The 12578-nt window shown below is 54.1% G+C and overlaps 1 protein-coding gene and 1 long non-coding RNA gene across 2 annotated transcripts in view; both read right to left on the bottom strand.

The window, feature by feature from the left end:
- The window catches only part of KLF13 (KLF transcription factor 13), a 108831-nt gene that overhangs the window by 30513 nt on the left and 65740 nt on the right, over nucleotides 1-12578 (bottom strand). The gene's annotated exons all lie outside the window — the stretch shown is intronic.
- Nucleotides 423-12269, bottom strand: LOC105370939 (uncharacterized). Its single transcript, XR_001751466.2, has 2 exons — nucleotides 11462-12269; nucleotides 423-1725 (listed from the first exon to the last, which is right to left on the bottom strand). It is a non-coding gene; the product is annotated as an uncharacterized LOC105370939 (long non-coding RNA).

The raw sequence follows: 12578 nt of genomic DNA, 5'->3' as shown, positions 1-12578 counted from the left end.
ACTAACCTCATTCATGAGAGCTCTGCTCGCATGACCTAGTCACCTCCCAAAGTTTCCTCCTCCTAATACCATCACAGTGGGGTGAAACTCAACATATGAGTTTCAGGGGCACATGGTTCCATCTACAGCATAAGCATATCATTGGTTTTATCCTACTACAAAACAGTACTCGTAGCCTCTTTGAGGCAGGGTGGAGCCTGGGATTAGAGCAAAGAGCTCCCCCCACTGTTCTCTCCATCCATACCCCTGAGTGAAGACCCTAGGCTCCACTCTTCCCAAACTGTGGACCCTAACCTTGCAGCCTTTCCGTGTCGGGAGTTGGTTCTTTCCAGTGGGTTCGTGGTCTCGCTGACCGCAAGAATGAAGTCCTGGACCTTCACAGTGAGTGTTACAGCTCTTAAAGGTGGCACGGACCCAAAGAGTGAGCAGCAGCAAGATTTATTGCCAAGAGCAAAATAACAAATACACCACAACAGGGATGGGGACCCAGTGGGTTGCCTGCTGCTGACTGGAGGGTGGCCAGCTTTTATTCCCTTATTTGTCCCCACCCATGTCCTGCTGATTGGTCCATTTTACAGAGTGCTGATTGGTCTGATTGGTCCATTTTACAGAGCACTAATTGGTCCATTTTACAGTGTTCTGATTGGTCCACTTTACAAAGCACTGATTGGTCCATTTTAGAAACCTCTAGCTAGCCACAGAGAGCTGATTGGTGCGTTTTACAATCCTATCTACAGAGTGCTGATTTGTGCATTTTACAATCCCTTTGTAAGACAGAAAAGTTCTCCAAGTCCCCGCCCCACCCAGAAGTCCAGCTGACTTCACCACTCATTTCCAGCTGGTAGAGGTAGCCTTCTACCCAACCTCCTCCCTTCTACCCTTCTCCCTGCCACATACATTCACTCCTGCACACTTACGGGGCTCCAGTGCCCTCTGCTTTGGTTTATAAACCAACACCATCATGCCTGTTTTTTATTTTCTGGAAGTCCATGATAGCCGCGGGCCCACTGGTAACTTGCCTGTGCCCCACTCTCCTTCTCACCTCTGCTTGGCTTATGCTACTTGGCCATGTCCAGGGAGTTCGGAGAGGAGAGGGAAGCAAACGGGGTGTTCAGTCTGCTCTGTGGGCACCTATGCCGACCTGCTTAGTTACCACTGTACTTGTGGTAACATGCCAGTGTGTAGGAGGGGTCCTCTCCCTGACAAGGACAGAGCCATCCCACAGACGAACTGCCTTAGTGCAGCTGGCGCTCCAGTCCGGGATCACTTACAACCACTGGCTAACCTTTTTCATGAGAAACATAATTGGCTGTAAACTCTCTGAGGGTGGTGAATCAGTTAGGACTATCTCTGACTATGGGTTGAAAAAATCCTAACATAATAGTGGCTTAAGCAAGAGAGCAGTTTACTCAATGTGGGAGGCAGGAAGTCTAGATCTGTTACAGGGGCTACACTGTGATGGGGACTCGGGCTCCATCTATCCAGTGCTCATTATCCTTGTGTGGCTTTAAATACCCTTGTGTGACTTCCATTCCCACGATGACCCATGGTCCAATGTGACTGCTGCAGCTCCTGCCATCATGTCCACACTTCAGCCAGCAGGAAGAGAAAGAAGGAGAATTGGCTCATCCACTCATTTACAAGTTACTTCCTGGGATAGAAGTAGTTCATGACACTACTGCACACCCCATCAGACAGAATTGGTCCAGGTAGCCACACGCTGAGCTAAAAATCAAGGGTTTCATTATTAAAGATGGGAACATGTATGGTGGGGCCTCTAAAGCATCCCCAGCCGACAGCATATCTCGTTTGTGATTTTACTCCCCCATCTAGAGACAAGAATTCTGGAGTCATGATTCATCGATTATTTGCCAGTCACCCAGTTTCACTGTAGCCTTTGACTTGGAGTATATTGCCCAGAGTTATCCGGACCAGAGCAAAAGATCTTGCCCCAAAACTGCTTCACAGCAGAAAAGACACTAAAAGAATGAGGGGAATCAGCAGACGTATCTATACTCAAACATTTTGGGGATCAAGATAGACTGACAGTTGGAACTGGCAATCGAGCCGTAGAGAGAGAGCAAATGGGAAGCAGCTTGTGTTCCCCAGGCCTGGACTAGCATGCCCTTCCTGGCATCCATTTTTCCTGCTGGGCCCCAAGGGACCTGGCCCTGTGCGTCAGTTCTGTGGCTGCAAGGGATAGCGAGGCTGCTTACGAAAGAAGAAAACAGTTCACGAGTCCCATTGCCCATCCCTCCAAGGCAAACACTTAAAAGTTGTTTTTTTTTTCCCCACATTTTAGTATTTCATATTCCGATAAGACCCATATACTGCTGTTGGCTGAGCCAGAACAGCCTACACATCCCAGGGGAAAGAGGACCTTCTCTGACAGAAACAAGTCTAGACTAATGAGCCGCAGAACTGAGTGTCTGGTGATAAGCTGAGAACACTGAGCCTGCCTCCCCAGGCTCCACCTGGGGCTCTGTGCAGCAGCTGCTGCTGGAGACAGCTCCTCCGCTCCTGGCGGTGGGATGGCGGGGCAGCCCTGGGTCCCAGTGCCGCTGACAGCCAGGTCGGACCTGAGCACGAGACCCTGCACCAGAGCGGGGACATTCAGGCTCTGTGGACTTCCTGAGTGTCTTCTCCACATTGAGCCATCACATGTTTCCTGAATGGAACTGTTTCTCTGGGCCTTTGTCACTGGGACCACTTGGGAACCCTCTGACTGAGTCTCAGCCCAGCCTCATCTCCACGGCATCTGAGGTGCCCCAAGCACACTGCTTTCATCTCCCACCCCTAGAGGTGCCCCTGTGGGGCAGGGTCCCCAGCCAAGAGCTCCTTCCAACCTCCCCTCCTCATCTAAACCTCATCTTCCTTTCAGAGGCTGGCGGGGGCACATCTTCTCCCAGAGGGCTCTCCATCCATGTAGGCAAGGGAGCAGCAGAGCCTGGAGCTGAACCCGCATCTGTGGCTCCCATGCCCGGCCCCCACAGCCCTTCTTTGGGCCCCCTGACAGCCTCGATCAGAGGTTGTGTCCTGGACATGCAGTGTCTCCCCTACTGGAGTGGACATTGGTGCTGCTCACCCAGACCCCACTTCTCCTCGGGCACGCTCTGCATTCTGCGAAGTGGATGGCAGCAGGATCTGCCTCCAAACGTGCTCTTCTGACATGGAGATTCTGGCAATTCTGCTGAGAGTTGGGGTTTCCTTTCTTCCTCTTGACTCTAGGCAGGCTTGCGTGCCACTCCAGGTAAGTGATGCTATGTGGCTTCTGAGGCTGGGTCACAAATGGTGAGACAGTGTCTGCTGGTTCTCTTGGGACTGCCCTTGGAGACTCAGCCCTCATGCTGAAGTGGGCCATGCAGCCAGAGGACAGCTAGAGACCTTGGAGCTGCACTGCTGCGTTCAGGTCCCTGCACCAGTGTGGCCTTGGGCAAGTACCGCATCTCTGAACCTCAGTTTCCCCATTTGTAAAATGGGCACAATATAGTCTTTCCCGCTGAGTGTTATTAAGAGGATCAAATTCCCACATGAAGGGACCAGCCCAGCCCCACACACCAGGTGGCCCCCACTCAATGCTGGTTCCTGCTCCACAGCACAGGCTCTCACCCCAAGCACAGGCCCTGTGCCCAGAGGGCGGGATGCAAGCCTTAGGCACACCCTTGACCCCTGCTCCCCTCAAAGCAGGCAGCCCACTACCCACTTCACCCCTACCCGTGCCTTGCCCTGACTCAAGCCAGCTGGGATGTTACACCCCACCCGGGGGACAAAAAGCAGGCCCAAGGGACCCTGGGCAGGTGGGCAAGGACTTCGTGAAAAGAGCGTAACTTTGCAGTCTAGAAGATTTTGTCTCGGCCGGGTGCAGTGGCTCACACCTGTAGGCCCAGCACTTTGGGAGGCTGAGGTGGGTGGATCACCTGAGGTCAGGAGTTCGAGACCAGCCTGGGCAACATGGTGAAACCCGGTCTCTACTAAAAATATAAAGTTAGCTGGGCGTGGTGGCGCATGCCTGTAATCCCAGCTACTTGGTAGGCTGAGGCAGAATAGCTTGCTCCCGGGAGGCAGAGGTTGCAGTGAGCCAAGATTGTGCCATTGCACTCCAGCCTGGGCAACAAAGCAAAACCCCATCTCAAAAAAAAAAAAATTGTTTATTTATCTATCGACGGGACACATTGCAGCACCTGCCTCAGAAGGTCACCTGGTGACATCAAAAAGATGATAGCGATGCGACGCTTCCAGGTGCTCAAACCCAAATCTCGGGGTCAGCTTATCTTGCCCCTCTCTCCCACATGTCACAGCCATCGCATCCAGCCAGCCAGACCCTCACAGGCAGTCAACCAGCACAACTGACTCTGGTCCGAGGCATTGTCCCTTCTCTCTTGGATCTGCCCTCTGCCTGGTCTCTCGGCTTCCACCCCCTCCCTCGACCCTCCTCCACCCTCCTCCACCTTCCACACAGCAGAGTGATCTGAGTAAAATCCAAAACCCAAGTTGGGGCCTGCCACCCCTCTGCTAGAAGCCCCAAGGCTCCCCATTTCCCTGCAGGGCACCTCACCCCCAGCTCTGACCTCCCTGTTCTGCTCCAGCCCCCTGCCTTGCCGCTGTCCCAGCTCTGGGACCAGCCACCTTCAGCTCTGGACCTGGGATTTGAGTTCTCCCTGCCTGTGGCACACTTCGTAAGGCTGGCTGACTCACTTTTTAAGGCCTTTATTTAAATGTCATCCACTCATGGAGACCTCTCTGAGCAACCTAATTAAACTGCACGCCACCCCCTCCATGTGGGGTCCCCTTCTGTCCTTCACTGTTTTCTATTTAGTGGTTGCCATCTGACACAATGCTGAGGATGGTTTCTTGCCTCTCCCCAGTTAAAATACAAGCATGAACATGAAGGCAGGGCTTTCCTGTCATCAGTTTCACCGCTCTCGCTCCGTGGATTCCCTGCAGAAAATGGATTTGGGAATACCTTTTCCCCATTGAGGAAGGCCAGGTGGAGGGAGAGCAGAGTGGGGGTGGAACAGGAGTAGGACTCGTCTCCTGGCAGGCTGTCAAGAACCCCATGGGGAGGCTCCAGTCTGGCTTGGCCTGAGACTATGTGCTGTGGCCTCTGTGGGTCCAAGCAGTGCTGACGGCAGCCTGAGGGTTTGAGTCACCCTCCCTAGTGGGAAGCCCCTGGGTGAAGAGCAGAAGTCAAGTTCAAAGGGGGCAGCTAAAGCTTTGAAGAGCCACTGAGCAAAGGGGCCTAGGAAAGCAAAAGGCACCAAGGTGTGGGCCCAGCATGGCAGAAGCCCCGGAGCCCAGAGTCAGGCTCTCAGCCCCTCCCTGTGGCCTGCCCTGGCAGATCGGGCAAGACAGGTGTGCACATGCACAAAAAAGCCCTAAGCCAGAAGACCCTCCCTCCCAGTGGCTGGTGCCCCTCTGCCCCACAGCGACCCCACCCTGGCACATCCACCCAAGCTGAGCCAGCTCTGACTCTGAGACCACACCCCTTGTCCCGCACCCAGCCACGAGGCGGAGGTTAGTGCAGGTTTCAGCACCCTTGGACCTCATCTAGGAGTAGAGGGGGCAGGCCTAGGCCTGGACCTGGAGCAGTGGGTGTCAAGGAATCCCCTGTGTGGGCAGGATGGCTCTGGGAAACCAAGGGCAGTGTGTGGTGGTTTGGCACAGCTGACTGCAAAAAACTCAGAGATAGGCTGGGCACGGTGGCTCACACCTATAATCCCAGCACTTTGGGAGGCCGAGGTGGGTGGATCACCTGAGGTCAGGAGTTTGAGACCAGCCTGCCCAACATGATGAAACCCCGTCTCTACTAAAAATACAAAAATTAGCTGGGCTAATCCCAGCTACTCAGGAGGCTGAGGCAGGAGAATCGCTTGATCCTGGGAGGCAGAGGTTGCAGTGAGCCAAGATTGCGCCATTGCACTCCAGCCGCAGGGGGAAAACTCAGGGATGCAATTCCCTGCCATGTGGGTTGCCCCCACATTTGTGGGGCTAAGGGGCCCCTTGTTTTCAGAGGGAGCTCAGCTCCTCTCAGAGGGTGATTGCAACTTTGCCCAGTGGAGTCTGCTCTGCTTCTCCATCTGGTGCTGACATCCTCTAGGGCAGCCAGCACCGTCCTCTTCACTGAGGCAGGATAAGGGGCTCGCACTCTGCCAGGGACACACAGGATGCTTGGGGCTGTGTGACACTGAGCTTCCCTGGGCACAGGCTCCAGGGAAAACCCAGTAGATGACACAGCCCCGCCCAGTGGGGCAGATCAAAGGGAGCTGTGTAGGCGAGCACTAGGCGACTGTAGGGCTTGCCCACGGCTTCTTGGCCTGGCTGCAGGCTCTTCCCACCCACAGAGTCCTATAGCTGCCCTGGGGGAGAGGGAGGAGGGCACCGTGCATGGTTGACTCTTCCTGCTTCTCAGCTCCAACAGCCTTGGCCTCCTGCTTGATCTTTCCAAGGCCTGGGGGCCTGCTCCAAAGTCAGACACTCCTGATGTGGTACTGTGCCTGGGGACAAAGGTGGCTGGGAGGGCTCGGAGCCCTGAGCTTGAGCCCTGGGATGGAAGGGGTCGCTGCTTCTCCACTGGGGTCCAGGAGCCAGTGGGCTCTTGCTCTGGGAGTACCCTGGGGGCCAGGCAGCAGCACCGAGCATGCCCCTGAAATAGGCGCTGGCCAGAGCCTGGGTGTAGGCTGCGGGGTTGGCCCCAGGGCCAAGTTGGCTCCCTCATTGCCCACCACGCTCTGCTCCCAGCCACTACACACGAAATGCCAGCAGCTGTTTTGGTTTGGCAGCTTCTGCTGCCACCCCCATACGCCTTCTAAACTCGTCAGTGCTGCCGTGTCTGGTCTGTTGTGTCCTGGTGCAGCCCTGTCCCCTAACACCTGGGCTGTTTCCTTGCTGTGATGGCCATGGTTGTGCCTCTGAGGCCTGGGCTCCTTTCAACTAGGGTTGGAGAATCTCTGAAAACACCACCAATTAAGGCCCCGCCCGAGCAGGAGCATCCTGTGCTTTGTGGTGGGAACCTGTCCAGGCAAAGGCCTTATCCGAGAGATCAGGTAAATTACTGGGTAACTATCGGAGCCTGAGCAGAGACGCAGGCCTAGCAGGCTCCTTATTAGGCTAATTACTGGCCCCGGACTGCGTAAAACCCAAGATAAACTCAGGGTCGACCCGGAGAGCAGCTGGGAGGTGGTGTTTTCCTGGAGAGGCACTTGCCAGAGGCCCTCAGGCTGAGGCACAGGAGAGAAAGACTGAAGAATTCCCCAGGGAGAGTGGATCACCACCCCCCCCGCCGCCACCCCCAAAGACCAGAGAAGTCTGCAGACCCCACATCCAGCTCCTAACTCTGACCCCCTCCACGTCCTCATCTGTGTAGTTCATCCCTCTGACATTTATGATGTGCCAGGAGCTGCTGGCCACTGGGTATGGTTGAAAATAACATAATAATAATAATGTTACAAAATCAGCCTCACACTGTACAAAGAGTAGCTCATTTAGTCCTCAACAAATCCATCTTCATTTTATAGATGGGGAAACTGAGGCTCAGGGATGTTAAAGGACTTGCTAGCAGCTGCTAGAGCTGGAAGCAAGAGGCAGCCCTGACCCCAAAGGGGAAACAGGCCCAGGAACTTCCCAGCGCCCCTCCCTTGAGGACAGACAACGTTGGCAGGCCACGGCCCCTCCCACTCCGAGGCGTCTGGACCTCTTGGCCTGCAGCCTTTGCAAGTGCGCGTCACTGAGGAGGAGAGGGCGCCACCGCCCCAGGCCTGAGAATGGTCGGCAATGGGCGGGGTCGGCGGCTCTCTGGGCTCGTAATTATTCTCCCGGTAATTATGCTGGCGCTGGGCGTGGCCTGAGCGGAGCGCCGGGAAGCCTGCCCACCCTGCCACGTGCACCCCTGCCCTGCCCTGCCCTGCCCGCCCCACCCCACCCCACCCCGCCCCACCCTGAACCTGGACACCCTCTTGGCCTCAGGGCCTCAGGCTTGTTCCCAACCCCCCTTTGCCCATTTCCGCCTGGGAAATGACCCCTGGCAAATGTTCCTGTGGCAAAGTCAAACGAAAAACCTGGACTGGAGGACGGAAAGTGTCCTCTGGGCTCAGGGTAGGGACAGGCACCAGCCCCTGAGCCACTGTTGAAACCACCACTGCAAAATTATAACCCAGACAGTGAACGAGATCTGACTTAACTAACTCCATCTTGCTTCTAACCTCCAAGCTGTCCTTGTTCATTCCTAGGTGTAAGCTGAACTAACTTTGGGAGAAAACTTGGTTTATAGTTTATAGTTTAAAACAAAGACTGTAACATCCCTTTCCCAAAGCAGACCTCCTTCCTGCCTAGGGACTAGACTGCCTTTGTAGCTAGGACTAATAAATTAGCCAAAAAATTAGAAATTATGGTTTAGGAGTCACGCAGCTGGAGGCTACAAGATTCTGACTTTCCCAAGTTGCTTCTGGGGATAACATCACTATTGTAAAGCCTAAGATCCCTAAAATCAGTGCTTGAGATATTTTGCAGACCCTGTACTCCATGGATCAGCTGGCACCACCCAGGTCAATAAACTGGCTCATCTGATCTTGTGGCCCCAAACCAGGAACTGACTCAATGCAAGAAGACAGCTTCGACTCCCTAAGATTTCATCACTGACCAATCAGCACTCCCAACTCACTGGCTGCCCCCCAACCACCAAATTATCCTTAAAAACCCTAGGCCGGGCGCGGTGGCTCAAGCCTGTAATCCCAGCACTTTGGGAGGCCGAGGCAGGCAGATCACAAGGTCAAGAGATCAAGACCATCCTGGCCAACATGGTGAAACCCTGTCTCTACTAAAAATGCAAAAATTAGGCCGGGCACGGTGGCTCATGCCTGTAATCCCAGCACTTTGGGAGGCCGAAGTGGGCAGATCACCTGAAGTCGGGAGTTTGAGAGCAACCTGACCAACACAGAGAAACCCCGTCTACTAAAAATACAAAATTAGCCGGGCGTGGTAGCGCATGCCTGTAATCCCAGCTACTCAAGAGGCTGAGGCAGGAGAATCTCTTGAACCCAGGAGACGGAGGTTGCATTGAGCCAAGATCGCGCCATTGCACTCCAGCATGGGAAACAAGAGCGAAACTCCGTCTCAAAAAAAAGAAAGAAAGAAAGAAAAACAAAAAAACCAACCCTCCCAGGGCACGTGTATCACAGGCCCTGAGGGGACAACAGCCAGAAAAGCTGGTGAATGTCCAGTAGGCAGAGGATGGAGGATCAGGGACTCTGAGGCAGACTTCTTGGGCCGGAATCTCAGCTCCACCACCAAGCAGCAGCATGACTTGGGAAACTCAATTCCACATACTTTGGGGGTTTCCCTCCCCCATTTTTATTTTATCAAATTAATTTTGATGTGATATTATTAAGTGAAATTAAATGTCAAAACTGTAGATGAAATGTTGCCATCGGGGAAATGCAAATCAAAACCACAATAAGGTACCACTTCACATCCGTGACGATGGCTATGAACAAAAAGGAGGACAGTAACAAGTGTTGGGGCATGTGGAGAAGCTGGACCTCTCATGGATTGCCAGTGGGAATGTAAAATAGTGCAGATGGAAACAGTCTGGCAGTTCCTCAAAACTAAACATAATGTTGCTACATGACCCAGTAATCCCACTCCTAGGTGTATACCCGAGAGAAATGAAAACTTATGTCCAAAAATAAATAAATAAATAAATAAGGAAAAAAGAAAACTTATGTCTACACAGAAGCTTGTACACACATGTTCATAGCAGCAGCATTCATAGCAGCTAAGGAGTAGAAATAACCCAAACATCCATCAGTGGATGAATGGACTTTAAAAAAATAGTATATCCATACGACAGAGTATTATCAAGCCATAATAGTGAGTAGGGGCCGGGCACAGTGGCTCACGCCTGTAATCTCAGCACTTTGGGAGGCAGAAGTGGGCAAATCACTTGAGGTCAGGAGTTCGAGACCAGACTGGCCAACGTGGTGAAACGCCATCTCTACTAAAAATACAAAAATTAGCCGGGCGTGGTGGCGGGCATCTGCAATCCCAGCTACTCAGGAGGCTGAGACAGGAGAATCGCTTGAATCCAGGAGGTGGAGGTTGCAGTGAGCCGAGATTGCCTCACTGCACTCCAGCCTGGGCAACAGAGGGAGACTCCCTCTAAAACAAAACAAAACAAAACAAAGGGAGTGGAGTACTAACACATGATACAACATGGATGAAACTTAAAAATTTATGCTAAGTGAAATGAGACAGACACAAAAAAGCCACATATTGTTTGATTACATTTATATGAGATATTCAGAAGAGGCAAGTAGATGAGTGGCTCCTAGGGCCAGGGAAAATGGGGGAATATCGGGGTGATAGCTAAAGGGTACAGGGTTTTATTTTGAGGCAATATTCTATAATTAACTGTGGTAATGGTTGCACGTCTGTGAATATACTAAAGGCCAATGGATTACATACAGTAAATGGGTGAATTATATATGTGAATTATATCTCAAAAAAGTTATAGAAAAAATGCACCTAGAGAAGTCTCACTTCCACCTCCATCCTCTCTGCCCATATCCACAGGACTTCTTTTTGAAAAAATAAGCAAAATCTATATAAAATACACACCCACACTCTTTAAAATACTCCCTACTTTCTTTCTTTTCTTTTTTTTTTTTTTCTTGAGACGGAGTCTCGCTCTGTCACCCAGGCTGGAGGGCAGTGGCCCAATCTGGGCTCACTGCAAGCTCCGCCTCCCGGGTTCAGGCCATTCTGTCGCCTCAGCCTCCCGAGTAGCTGGGACTACAGGTGCCCGCCACCACGCCAGGCTAATTTTTTGTTTTTGTATTTTTTTTTTAGTAGAGACGGGGTTTCACCGTGTTAGCCAGGATGGTCTCGATCTCCTGACCTCGTGATCCGCCTGCCTCAGCCTCCCAAAGTGTTAGGATTTCAGGCGTGAGCCACCGCGCCCGGCCAAAATACTCCCTACATTCTTACTCAGGTAGGATTGTCTTCCATGTACTGCTTGGCACCTTCCTTTTTTTTCCTTTAACTTAACATTGCACCCCAGCGCTGTCAGCATCTCTCTTTGGCCAGTGCACAGCGCTTCTCTGTGGAGATGTTAGCCTCATGGACCGCGCCCCCAGGAACAACCTTGCCTGCAAGTTGCTTCCTGTCTGTCCAGGTGATCCCTGTGGGAGCCCCCTGAGATGCAAGGGCAAAGGCAGTCCAGGCTTGGCAGATGCCGCTGCCTGTCCCCCCACCTCTCCACCCACCACCCTCGCAGACAGAAGCCCGACCCGGTGCCCTCCAGCCAGGCAGCATGTCCTTGACTCTCCATAGAGGCCTCTGTTTGCTCTGTGAACAGGGCTGTGGTAGTAATGAGACGGGAGGATGGATACAGGTCCAGCACTCAGAACGATGCCTGGGCCATAATGAACATGATCTCAGTGGGAACTCTCATCATCACCCACCTCACCTTCAAGGCCAAAGCAGCGATGCCTGGCTGGGAAAGCTCTGTCTTTGCTTCCTCTCTGGTCTTGGAGCACCGAAGCGGCTGCAGCTGCGACCGCAGAGCACAGCGGGGGTTGAGCCCTGCGGAGTGGCGTGTAGGGAGTACTAGACGAGTAGTGGGAGGACCGAGGGACAAGGGTGCTGGGATGGGGCTGGATGGCCGGCACCCTGCCCTGGCTCTGAAACCCCCTGGCGGGTGGGTGCATCCTAGGTCTGAGGGGGACGGGGGGGGGACGGGCCGGGGGTGACGGGGTAGGTACTCTTTAGCCGGGTTTAGGGAAGGCCTCTCATGGGGGAGCAGTGGAGGAGAGGCGTGCAGGGAGTGCGCAGCACACCTCCGTCACCTCCATATCTGGACCGGGAAATGCAAAGGCCGAAGGCCGGGCCCGGCGGCTGCTTACTGAACGCTGCATGCCGCTAGGAGGTCCCAGTAGCCCCAGCAGGGTGGGGGCTGGCGGGAAGGTAGGGGCAGGCCGAGTTCTGGGAGAGACGCAGGTGCCAGGTGGGGTGGGATCTAGAGGCCCCTGGAGCAAGAGGGGAAGCCGCTGTGGGTTCTCCTTGGAAAGGGCTCGCGCGCCCGCCTCCAGGCTTGGAGGCTCTCCCAGGCTGCGGTCGGTCTCCGTCCAGGCGGGTATGGTGGGGCTGGAGCGAGCGGTGCTGCACAGTCGTGGAAAGGGGCTCTGCTTTGCAGGTGGAGCCGGCAGAACTTGCCTCCATGCTCTCCAGGCGTAGCGGACCTGGCTGGAGCCGGACAGTGCACCTAGAGCCGTTTCGGACCGGCTCACGGCAGCCGCCTAGACCTCCCGGAAGCGTCGCGGGCGGGGGCGGGGGCGGGGGCGGGGTGGGGGGCAATCACAGAAATGGGTGTGGGGCCCCAGATGGGGCTCCTGGCCCAGCCCCGAGCTGACCCTTGTCTTGGGCCGGTGCAGGACCCCCATTGTTAAAATACCGCGAGCAGACTCTACTGAATTTCCAAAACGTCACCCAAGTCACTGGCTCCTTCCTCCGAGCTATTTCTAGGGCGGACCCCCAGGACAGGCCTGAGGGGTCAGGGAGGAAGAGCCGAGTCCCGTGGACACCCT

The sequence above is a fragment of the Homo sapiens genome, chromosome 15 (genome assembly GCF_000001405.40).
Source record: "Homo sapiens chromosome 15, GRCh38.p14 Primary Assembly".
Lineage (NCBI taxonomy): Eukaryota > Metazoa > Chordata > Mammalia > Primates > Hominidae > Homo > Homo sapiens.
The sequence above is the reverse complement of the archived record's forward strand: the minus strand, read 5'-3'. Positions and strand labels throughout refer to the sequence as shown.